The sequence below is a fragment of the Homo sapiens genome, chromosome 20 (genome assembly GCF_000001405.40).
Source record: "Homo sapiens chromosome 20, GRCh38.p14 Primary Assembly".
NCBI classification, from domain to species: Eukaryota; Metazoa; Chordata; class Mammalia; order Primates; family Hominidae; genus Homo; species Homo sapiens.
The window spans coordinates 10,278,860-10,291,706 of NC_000020.11; the positions used below are offsets into that span (position 1 = coordinate 10,278,860).

Consider the following 12,847-nt stretch of genomic DNA (forward strand, 5'->3'; position numbering starts at 1 on the left):
TGCCACTGGAGGAGTGGGAAGGAGGTGGCAAGCATGCACTCCCTAGGAAGCCGGGGAAGTGGGTGGGGCGGGGGGTGGGAGGGTGGGGCGAACGTAACAAAATCTGTTATCCCCCAAAATGATAATTCGAGCCTGCAATGTGGCACAAACGGGACACACCGGAAGGCAGCCCTAGCAAAGCAGGTCCTCAGTATAGGGAAGCAGCGTTCTGTCTAAGTGAAGAGCAATATTTTATCTGCACTGTCCAGGGAATGCTGCTGCTCATGCAGAAATACTTGAGGATGAAGAAGGAGGTAGATATTCTAAATCTACGAGTACAGGCAAGACTCTTAGCATGGACTTATTCTCTCTCAAGTTTTCAGGAGGAAGAAAAATGAAAGAAGCCCATCTTAGTAATATGCCTACATGAGCTCTGAAGTTAACCTGAAGGGAGCCTAGAAATCAACTGAGATATTTATTTGATTGTATATTATTACATTATTATCATAATACATCCTTATGGCTTTCAACCATAGCCTCCAATCCCATTTTTCTTTTTTTGGTTACGTGTGTGCACATCTGATATAAGTTTCCAAAATATCAGAACCGTCACTAATTTGCCTGCCTGTGCAATGTTGAAATGCTGCCTAGACTGTGGAAAGGAGCAAAACAAATGAATCAGAACGCACACCTTGAACTGATCCCTTACACATCAGAGTCTGAGACATGGTCACTTTTTCATGTATCGTCTTAAACTGCAAGCCATGTCGTCCAGTCTTCAAAAATGAGTATCTGCTCTAATTTATTCTGGGGGAAAATCTCTCAAAAGCTTATTGATTGAAGTAGGATTCTCGAATCATATGTTTTTGTTTCTCCTAAAGCATTTTTCAATCAAGCATGCAGCTATATCTTAGAACAAGGAGCAAAAGAGATGGAAGCTATCTCCTGCCTCTAATAAATGAGAGGAGGCTATTAGACTTTCCATGCTTAGGAAATTGTGAGCAAAGTGTTATTAGAGTAGATTGATTTGCTCTTACTTCCTCCTGGGTTATTTTCTATTTATGGTCAAACATCCTGATGTCTAGGACATTTGCTGTTTAGATGATATTCTGCTTTTCAATCAAAAAGGACGTTCTCTAAAGAGAATCTGCATTAAATATTCATCAAGGACAGAAATCATTTGGAAAACCTGAGGATTGAAGTACCAGGATCTTACTCATGATCCCAAGGTTTGACAGCGCCATATAATCTGAATTGAGCTGAATCCTTATTGAAATTCAGTCTCAAAGACAGGAAAGGTTACTAAACTTGTGAAGTCTCCCTAAGGCAAACAATCTCTCAGCGGAATATACAACTTTACACCATCCTTAACAGACTCCAGGGTGTAGCCGTGGTTAGGGGTGGGGCCTTGCTTTTTAATAGTCATCATTATCAGCATCTCAAGGATAGTGTAAAACTACACAGAGGTGAGTGGAGAAAGTTCAGAAAAAATGAATGCCATAGATAGGTAAAAAGGTTAGAAATCATGTAGCACTTGGTTCTCAGCCTGGAGTTAGGAACTCTCTTTTGGTGAATGCATTTCAACAAATATTCACAGAATGCCTAACTCCGGGATAGGAAGGGAGATGTAAATTGGTATCTTGCTGGGAAACAGATATGTAAGTAGCTCTGCAAATTCAAGGCCATATTTGCCTTAGGTGCATAGGGGAGGGAACAACTGATTCTGGTAAGAGACTCATTAAGGTATCCTCGAGGAGGTAGTATTTAATTCCAGGAAAAAAAGTTAACTCTGCTAATGCTAAATTCAGGAAATGGAGTCTGCACATCAATGCCTTGGGCTATGTAAATTAAGCCCAGGAAAAGCCCCACAGCCTTAGGGCAGGCCAATTCAGAGACACCACATAACTTCCATGGAGTGGTTATTGCACAACTAATATTTCAAGAATGTTTTAGCATCCTTCTTTTTATGCCAACTTATCTTTCAAGACTTTCAAGACACTTTGGCCATGCAAAGAGAATAAGCATTCTAAAGTGGTGTATGCCAAACTTTCCCCTAAAAATGAAAAAAATCAGGTTGAGCAGTCCTTTTCAGATATGCAGATGTGGGGTCTTTTGGAGAGAGTGCCTGGAGTGTTCTAGTTTTAGTTCAGATGTTTTAGACTTTGGGAAAAGCATCTCAGAACGGCAAAAGAAAGATTTGAAACGTTCTATAAAGATTGTCTTAGTTCATCTGGAAAAATTTTTTTAAAAATTAAAATAGAGAAATAAAAGAGAACAGAAAGAAATGGAAAAGAAAAAGTAATCCTTTGTATCTTCAACTCCCCTGTTTTTAGGTAGGCGATTTTCCCAGCAATCTCAAACAGAAACTAAGAATTGAGCTTAGATAAAAATAGAACCACCTCCTCACACTCCTAGCTACTAAAACATAATACTATTTAAGGAATAAGAGAAAGTAATATTCTGCCTCCCTGAAATCATGTCTCTATCCCTGCCCATCTCCTTAAGCTTCTAGGTCCCCACAAAAGCAACCTAGTTATTTTTGATAGAAGCTGTCAGCAAAAGAGTGGAGCCAAACGCAAGTTCTAACATGTACCGAGGTGAAATGTGCCAGATACTCTGCTTAGAGCTATCATTGTCATCATCATCAAATGTACATTACCTAATTTAATCTTTGTTAGCTTCCTTCTACTACTACTTTGATCTCTGTTTTACTGTAGAGGAACTTGAGGTACACAGTGGTTAAGTAGCTTGCTTGAGACACACAGGTATAAACGGCAGAGATGAAGTTAAAACCCAGGTCTACCTGATTTCAGAGTGTAAGTTCTTACGCATCACACTTCTCTTCCACCAGCATCTCTTACAATCATTATTTTTCTTTGAGAATTCCACAAAAAGAAAGGATCTAAGGAAACAAAGCAGCTCATTCTAAATGGATTGAGATTCTACTCAATGTCTTATTTCCTGAACTCACGGAGGCGTCAGCTTCCCATAGAGGTGAACCTTGAGAGGCTGGACCCTCTGAGGCTCATTTTACTCTCATAACTACTGTGAGAAATTATGAGGGAGCAGTTACTCTCCCCATTTGACAGCTGGGAAGCTGAGACACAGAACAGGTGACCTTAGAGCACTAGCATTATGAAGATAGGTCTAGAATTCAGAAGTAATGACTCCCAGATCCTGGTTCTGCCCACCTGACCAAATTGTCTCACAAACAAAGGAACACATTTGAGAGGTCATGCATTTGTCTACCCGTTATCCTTAGTGCCTAGAGCAGAGTAGAGGCTCAATAAACACTAGGAAGGAAGGAGGGAAGGAAGGAAGGATGGAAGGAAGGAAGGAAGGAAGGAAGGAAGGAAGGAAGGAAGGAAGGAAGGAAGGAAGGAAGGAAGGGAAAGGAAGGAAGGAAAGTAAAAAGGAGCCTGTGAGTGATTAACCAACCACTCAATCTTTTCAATCTTACTCGGCATCCCTATCCTTATCTTAAACGTGGAGAAACATTCTGGAAGGTCAGATGTCTCTTCCAGGGTCTCGTGACTGGTTGCTGGCTGAGCTAAGAGCACAACCCAGTGTTCGTGACTCCCACATCAGTGCTCTCTGCTTCTGTTCTCCCAAACTGGGGCAACCTAAAAAACTCTTGCTCCCTCAAATTAGTTGCGTGAATCATTCTAGTGTTAAAACATTCAGCACCAAATTGGACAAATGTGCAATTATACTTGCAGGGCTCCACATAAAAATAAATGGGTATAATAGAATATCAAGAAAGTGTAAACAGATGAGGGCTGGACTGACCAAACTAAAATCACTAACCTTTTTCCCATCCACTGTCCCCAGTAGAATGGAGCGAAGATTTCATGTGTGGCCTGATTGGGCCCTCGAGGAGAAAGTGCTCTCCGAGATGCCTCTGCCCTCAGCAGAACCTGCATTGTCACATCCCTATGCCCGAATAGCCATCTGCCTTTTATAATTTCATCTCACAAGAAATGGAGAAAGAATGCAGAAAAGAGCAAATAAATCATTAAAATACAGGCTAGTACAGACAAAAGCCTGTTTACAACCCATTTAAAGAAAATATTTTGAAATGTCTTTTGTAGTCTAGAATCTTGCTACTCAATGTATGTCCCTGAACCAGCTCAATATGTCAGGGAGCTTGTTAGAAATGAAAAGCCCAGGCTCTACCCTAGCCCTACTGAATCAGAATCTACATTTTACAAGATGATTCATGTGCAGAGGATTCATATGCACATTCCAGTTTGAAAAGTAGTGGTCTAGAAGCTTCAGATACTCGATAATGATGATATTTTTAGTTTGCCTAGATAGGCTGCTATAGATGCATTTTCTGAATATATTTATTTTAGAAACACTTATTTTAGAAACACTCCATTCTAGCACATTCCACATATTAATTTGTTTAACGCACATACTTCCTCAATGAGGTATTAACTGTTGTCATTGCTGTCTTACAAAGGAGAACGGAGGCACAGAACAGTCAGGACACTTGCCTGAGGCCCCACAGTTAGGGAATGAAATCACCAGCATTCCAGCCCAGAGTCTGTCTCCACAGTCTGCGCTGTCAAGGACTCCTGAGGCCACCCTGGGCCAGCCCTGTCCATACTACATCCTGACTTTGCCACTAAAGCCTATCAAAGTGTGCTCAAAGGCAAGGTAGGCTTTTGTGTCCTGGAGATTTAACTGCACACGTTCTCTAAAATGGTGAGTTTATAAAAGCTCACAGAAATCATTTTCAGCATTTTATTTTTCAGAAGCACTATTGAAATTTAATTGTTAAAATACTATTTTTTTAAAAGCACTTTGTTGGCCTCCACTAGTATCTCTCTCTTTCTTTCTTAGTTCAAAGTACATCAGTGGAAAATAAGCACCATGAGAGAGGTCCTAGCTTAGAATTTCTTCTGGGGGTACCATGAGCTTTACTTGAAAAACCAATTCATCCAAACTATAAGCAATGCCATTTTATACCCATTAACAGTCGCCCTGTAAAATGGAAGGCATTAACTGATTAGGCTTTCTAGAAATGAGGATTCTTAAGTATGAGTGATACAGATATCTTTGTTCCTTCTGTCCTGACCACCAACTCCTGCCCATGGTTCAGGTGGTATTTGGTTTATTTGAACAGTAAGGAGATGAGGGATGCCTTTTAAAGACTTCCCCGGCACAGAAGAATTTCTGTAAAGCTTGTAAAGGAATTATTTTCTCACACTAGATTATTATGCAGAATGTTAGATTTCAGAATTAAGAGCCCTTATTTCTCATCTCAAACCCATTCTAAATACTGTAGACCCTCTCCATAGAGATAGAAAAATGGAGAGAGAGTGAGTTTCCTTTTGAGCTGTGTTTCCCAACCTTTGTAAAGCCATGCTCTCTTCTGATGAACCTGAAAACCTCAACCCCCACCACCAAGATTCTTGCACATCTTCCCATGGGGCATCCCTCCCCAATTTCACTGATGAAGACTTTCTGATAGATAGTGCCAAAGAAGAAAATTTAGACTAGAAGATTTCCAAAGGTTTGCTTTCTGTGATTGGTGTTATAAAAACTGTAGACACGTTTATTTCCAAACATAAAATTACAGTATAATATGAAGTATGTGTATTCTGATTTCATGCAGGCCCCACCCCAGCCCTACCCCATGGAGACAGTGCTCCATTTCCTCATTCTGCCTAAAGCATCACTGGTAGATCAAGTCCACAGCTGGCCCATTCTTCTATCCCTCCATAACCCCTCAGGGCTCTTGTCATACTTTCTCCCTTTTTTCTTTTGGTCCTTCTTCATTTTCCATTTATAGGGCTAATTGTCCCCTTACTGATTTCTCTTTCTCTCTTTTCTCTCTCTAACTCCTTTTCAACTTTGCTACCATTATTGGAATGTAGAGTAAAGATGCTGGTATCAGGACTTTGGTTATGTTGGATGAACAAGGAGGTAAGTTCAGATTTCTTCAGTAAGAACAATTCCTCTTCTGAATAATGTGCATTTTAAAATTATTTGTGCATACGCAGATGGTCGCTTTGACATGTGTTACACATGTACACGAATGTGAGGGTTCTAGATTTTTCATCTTGCTTTTTTTCTTTCTCTGTTGAAAAGATTGGTAAATGTATGGAAATGTTGAGGCCTTCTTCATGAGTGAATCAATGATACCACTATCTCTGTTATATATGTTGGGGTAACTGAATTTTGAAGGCAAAAGCCATTTTTTTTAAATGATAGTATTTTGGACAGTGTAAGAATTTTCTTATTATCTTTGCCCCTAAACTTTCCCAATAAATTTGATTTTCTTCTAACAATACGTAGATAGAATGAGCGTATGGCATATCATGTTGTCTACTTCTTTTGACCATCCCAACTCAGTATCTAGTAGTTTTGGGTATTTCTTAAATACCTGGGAGCTGTTTTTCACAGAATATAACCTGAGGGAAATTATCTGGAAAATACAACATTGAACCAATTGAAATATTTGGCCTGTTTTAAAGATTATTACAGAAATGCTAGAAGCAAGGAAAATCAGAGAGCCAGCATTTTAATATAGCATCTCTATACCTAACATGGAAACTGAAAAGGGTAATACCATCATTTTTCTTCATCTCAATGTATCTAGCCCTATGGTGAGATTGTACATAATTCTAGCCACTAGTCAGTTACCTGATTCCGTTCTGAATTCTTATCATAATAAACAGATTTCTGCAAAGTTTTTTTCTTTTTATTCATATTTTGTAAAAGCATTAGAAAATTTTTTGGAGTCATGACTATTTTTTTTATGGCAAAGATAAAAATGTACAATGTATTCACAACACAGGAAACCTTAAATAAACTCTAAGCATAAATCTCAAGCTGTGGGGGGGAACGTGCCTGACAGATAACAGAGAGAAGGCACTTCTCCTAAAATTCAGAGAGCCCTTGCATATCAAAGAAAAGGGCAGCAACCTAAAGGAAAAATGGATGTAAAATAAGACGTCATCACAGATGTATGAAACCATGCTCTAATCACCAACAATGACAAGATACCACTTTTTAGAGCAGACTGGCATAAATTTTAAAAAATGATAATAACCAGTGTTGTGAATATGTTGGGAAAACAGAAACTCCTATTCCACAGTTAGGCACTGTAACCTGATACAAATGTCTTAAAGAATAATTTGAAAATATCTTCACATTTTAAAGGGCACTCATCTTTGACCAAGACACTCCACTCCTAGAATTTTACAGTGCAGATATACATTTACAGTTATATGAAGTAAAATGCATGTGGCTTACTCATAATAGTGTAAGACTAGAAACAACTTAAGTATCTGTCGGTGGGGAGACCAACCCAATTAATTGTGGTACGGCCATAAAAGAATTGTTCTGCCACCAATATAATACATGAGGTAGATCTTTATTTACTGACTTCTGTGGAGTTGGGGTGGGAGCAAGAAGGGACTGGAGGAAGATGCCTCATTTGGGGTCCCCTGGGGAGCAAATGCCAGGAAGCAATTAGAAGCAAAAGAGATTTGTTGGGGAAATGTCTGTGATAGGTCAAGGGGAGAGCTGCCGGGAGCAGGCAGAGGCAGCCTTCAGACTATGAAGCAGGTCTGATGCCTATAAAAGTAGATGGGTACTGCTCTGAGAAGCCCTCGGCCAGGCCAATGGGGAGCCCGAGAGCAAAGATTGCTGATTAGAGGAGCCCTGTGTTGGGCAGAAATGTTCTAGCACTAGTAGCCCATTGTGCTCAGCCATTGGCTTGAAGCATCCCAGGAAGAGCCTGGCCTCAATGTAAACACTGTGGCAGCCTACATAGGTGCACAGCTGGAGGCATCTGGCTGTCACATAAAGGCTTTCGGTTTTACATTATTTATTTGTATTAAACTTTTTCAATAAATATATACCAATTGATCCAAAAAATGGAGAAAAAAGTTTGAAAAAAAAGTTGAACATAAACCCCAACATTTTTCCTTCAATTTTCACAATACAAATTGTCAAAAGTTGTACACAAATAACAAAGTCTACTAGAGTTCCATGTTGAAGATACTGCAGTAGCAATGGAAGTCTTAAGAACTCCCCCAATGGGTTTGTTATTATTACGTGACTTGTTGGCTGGATCTGTGTAACAATGTCCCAGGCTTTGAAACTGAGGATGCAGCAAGTCATTGCTTTTAAAAAAAATAACTAAACAACAGGTGCCCAATAGAAGAGTGGTACCTGATTTCCGGTGCAAAATTGAAACCTATACACTCAAACCTAGGCATTATCATTCAGGACATAGGCATGGGCAAGGACTTCATGTCCAAAACACCAAAAGCAAGGCAACAAAAGCCAAAATTGACAAATGGGATCTCATTAAACTAAAGAGCTTCTGCACAGCAAAAGAAACTACCATCAGAGTGAACAGGCAACCTACAAAATGGGAGAAAATTTTTGCAACCTACTCATCTGACAAAGGGCTAATATCCAGAATCTACAATGAACTCAAACAAATTTACAAGAAAAAAACAAATAACCCCATCAAAAAGTGGGTGAAGGACATGAACAGACACTTCTCAAAAGAAGACATTTATGCAGCCAAAAAACACATGAAAAAATGCTCACCATCACTGGCTATCAGAGAAATGCAAATCAAAACCACAATGAGATACCATCTCACACCAGTTAGAATGGCGATCATTAAAAAGTCAGGAAACAACAGGTGCTGGAGAGGATGTGGAGAAATAGGAACACTTTTACACTGTTGGTAGGACTGTAAACTAGTTCAACCATTGTGGAAGTCAGTGTGGCGATTCCTCAGGGATCTAGAACTAGAAATACCATTTGACCCAGCCGTCCCATTACTGGGTATATACCCAAAGGACTATAAATCATGCTGCTATAAAGACACATGCACACATATGTTTATTGCAGCACTATTCACAATAGCAAAGACTTGGAACCAACCCAAATGTCCAACAATGATAGACTGGATTAAGAAAATGTGGCACATATACACCATGGAATACTATGCAGCCATAAAAAATGATGAGTTCGTGTCCTTTGTAGGGACATGGATGAAATTGGAAATCATCATTCTCAGTAAACTATTGCAAGACCAAAAAATCAAACACCGCATATTCTCACTCATAGATGGGAATTGAACAATGAGAACACATGGACACAGGAAGGGGAACATCACACTCTGGGGACTCTTGTGGGGTGGGGGGAGAGGGGAGGGATAGCTTTAGGAGATATACCTAATGCTAAATGATGAGTTAATGGGTGCAACACACCAGCATGGCACATGTATACATATGTAACTAACCTGCACATTGTGCACATGTACCCTAAAACTTAAAGTATAATAATAATAAAATAAAAAAATTTAAAAAATAAATAAATAAACATATACACTCAAATAATTAGCAGTTTCACCTTATTTATTTTTTAAGTTAATAATTTGTAACTTCATGTGGGTGGAAAAAGAGACATTACAATGGAGGGTAGACTTAGGAAAGATTTAGAATAGAGCCTTTTCCCCCCGAACAATAAAGCAGTGACATAAAGACATGGAAAATAATATATACAAACCTGGAATGAAAAAGAGAAAACATGAATAACAGGCTTACATGAGTGATAAATTGCATTGTACTTTGATGAAGAAAATCTAGAGATATAATTTGCTGAAATCTTCATAAAAATGCAAAAATATATCTTCTTTAGCACAAATTATCTCCAGAATCACCTATGTACTATTCTCCGAGAAACAAAGCAGAATAGAATGTCTGTTTGACAGATTTCCCCATGAGACAGTTAATGTTCTCGGCTAAGACATTTCAATTATAGCCATACCACAGTAAATGCTGAATTCCTCAGTTAAACAAGGATAGACTGGGTTTTACCAGATGTGTGGTGAGTAGATAGACACTGATGAGAAACACGCAACTGTAAAACCCCCGAAAGTAGGTGGTTTCTGGCCGGTCTTAAATGGTACACATTTCATTTATAGTATAATAGGAACTTAGGACCTTTTTTTTTTTTTTAATTAGGCAGTAGAGACACAGAAGGACCTTTCTAATTGACAGATGAGCATGTCAACAGCTATCTTAACTGCCATATAAGTGCATTTTAATTTTGCCTTTACTTGTTTAGATCAGTAACTGCTTTGAAATTTCTCTTCATTTATGCTCTACTAATTTTGTTTATGCGTGAGCACCAAAAGTGTTGACTATTTCTACCTCACAGCAGCACGGGAGCCTCAAGAAACAGCCATTCTTCTAAAGAACCATCTCAACCACTGTTGGGTCAGGCCAGGCCATTCCAGGTTGTCCAGTTAAATGATTGCACTAGGAAATTTCCTATGGGATTCTTGCTTTATACCCAGGTATCGGGAGACACCAAGGAGCACTGAGCATGACAACCAGACCTGGAAACGTACTGAGCCCTGGAACTTTCATTCCTCTAGAAAATTTGTCACCAAGGGAAGTCCCCAAATGACCCTGGCACTAATGTGGGCTTTTACCTGCATATCTCTTGTTCCTTTTGCTGGTCTTTGCTGAGTTGTATGTCTGTTTTGATGCTGAAGATGTGACTTTTGGGAAAATCTCCTGGGATCAGCTCCAAACTAAACAGTGAAATATTTGACTACTGTCTGACAGAAGAAAGACAAAGTAAATTCCTGTCCGGAGAGTCAGCTATCTTAAAAGGTTCATGGCACTACAAGGTGGCATCTGAAAAACCATCTCTCTAGCTAAAGTCCATTCACCAATATCTGTTATGAATGACTAAGGCTGTACTTAGTCATGATAGCCACATAGGGCTATTTAAATTTAAATAAATTTCTATATGTTCATAAATGCTAAGAAAAATGAAATTCATAGAGGCAGCATCTTGTAACTGGATATACTCATGAAGGCTGCATACTAGATTAATAGTATTAATGCTTACTATTCTTCTACTGATTTTTACTAGATTGAGAATACTAAGGGCCCCATGTTGGCTTACTTAGGAGAGATTAGTAGAAATTTTGTTTTCACCAGTCATTGGAAAAATATTAATGGAAAACATTAATATAGATCCTTGAGGATTCTGTCATTGGTGGATCTATCACAAATAACCAGTGATCCAATATCATGGCAAAAGAAAGCCCAAGCTCTGGCCCCAACATATAGTGTCACCTACCTGAAGACCCCCTCCCTACTCAAAATGTTATTCTCCTCCCAGCCCCCAAGAATAAACAGAAATGAGCCAGAAAACAAGCTTAGGGAGATCAAAAGCAGTCAACACTGGATGGTGCGTTGCATCAGCCTCAGAGATGCTGCTGTTCATCCCAGAATGAGATGCTTATAAGCATTTCCTGAGAAGCATCTTCACAGAAATCATTGAAGTGCCATGAAGTCCCAATATGCCAAACATCTCCACAAACATAACTCAGTACACTCTAAAAATTAATATTATTGCTAGAATTTCTGCAACAAAATGACTCCACAATATTTTTTAAATTAAAGGTTTGACTTAGAATTCTTATGTAAATATATATTCAACTGATATTGGTAGTTATAAAATAGTGTTCTGAATCAACTATTTTCTGAATAGTTTTCTGAATCAAATTCAGCTTCAGAGTTTTCTCTTTTAGTCAAAACTTTGCCAAATTAAGCTGGTAACCGATGGCAGAGCCCAGCTTTCTGAAATATGGATTTAGACGTGCCTGTTTGTTTTTCCCTTTTTAATATCAATTATCTAATTCATAGGTCCAATACCTGTGCACCAATTCACATATATATGTTACCTCCTAATCTCTGGAAGCACAGTGGATGGGTCCCTAATATCTTGTCAGAGAGTTAATATTTTGGCCAAAAAAAAAAAAAATTATCAACTCGCTTTGTAACTTAGGAGAAACTCCTCAAGAAAGACAAATAATTGCATATGTGTCCCCACGCCATAATCTATGCTTATTTCAGCTGTCATTAGCTGGGGGCAGCATCTCTCCTTCTGAGTCCAGATGCCTCCTCCAATCCATCTCAAGCCTGCATTCCCAGAGGCCATTAGCAATTACTTGATTGGGATTTGGCATCCCTATTGTCTGTATATATAATGGTTCTTCATCTGATGATGAGTTCCTTTCCCCACACCAGTCCCTCCACTTGAATATTTACCTTGATCTACAGACTAATTTATTGCATTCTTAAAAGGAAACTGGAGTGAAATCCTTAGAAAAGAAAAAAATCTTCTTGAATGTAGGGGATTGCCATATATATAGCCTTTTAAAAATTTTTTTTAATTGTAATTTTTATTTTTGGGACGGAGTTTCGCTCTTGTTGCCCAAGCTGGAATGCAATAGTGCAATCTCAGCTCACTGCAACCTCCACCTCCCAGGTTCAAGCAATTCTCCTGCCTCAGCCTCCCAAGTAGCTGGGATTACAGGCGCATGCCACCACGCCCAGAAATTTTTTTTGTATTTTTAGTAGAAACATGGTTTTACCATGTTAGCCAGGCTGGTCTCAAACTCTGGACCTCTGGTGATCTGCCTGCCTTGGCCTCCCTAAGTGCTGGGATCACAGGCATGAGCCACCACACCCAGCTATATTTGCGGATTTTTTTTTTTAAGCCATCACTGTGCCTGTATTTATTCGGCAAAAGTTCTCCTGCACTACCTTATTATCTCCTCCAGGTATTCAATGCTGGATAAACAATGAAATTTTGTTTTCACCTGTCATTTCAAAAGCATAAGAGAAATAGCAGATTCCTCATGAACTGAATTCTGTTCTTTAGCCTCACGAAAGAAAACACAGTAGGCTTTTATTTTCCAAATTCACAGTCTGGCAGTTTGGGTCACTAGTGAATGTATCTTAGTTTTTTTGGAAGCACAATTTCCACTGTATAACTTAATGTGAAATTGTGTTTAAGTGATAAT

The 12,847-nt window shown here is 39.0% G+C and overlaps 1 protein-coding gene across 15 annotated transcripts in view; it reads left to right on the forward strand.

Moving 5' to 3' along the window:
* The window catches only part of SNAP25 (synaptosome associated protein 25), an 88,589-nt gene that overhangs the window by 60,030 nt on the left and 15,712 nt on the right, over positions 1-12,847 (forward strand). For all 15 annotated transcript variants that reach the window (NM_001424416.1, NM_001322907.2, NM_001322910.2 and 12 more), the window contains one exon: positions 5,865-5,913. In NM_001424416.1, the coding sequence (NP_001411345.1) occupies positions 5,865-5,913 (49 nt within the window). The remainder of the gene's footprint in view (positions 1-5,864; positions 5,914-12,847) is intronic.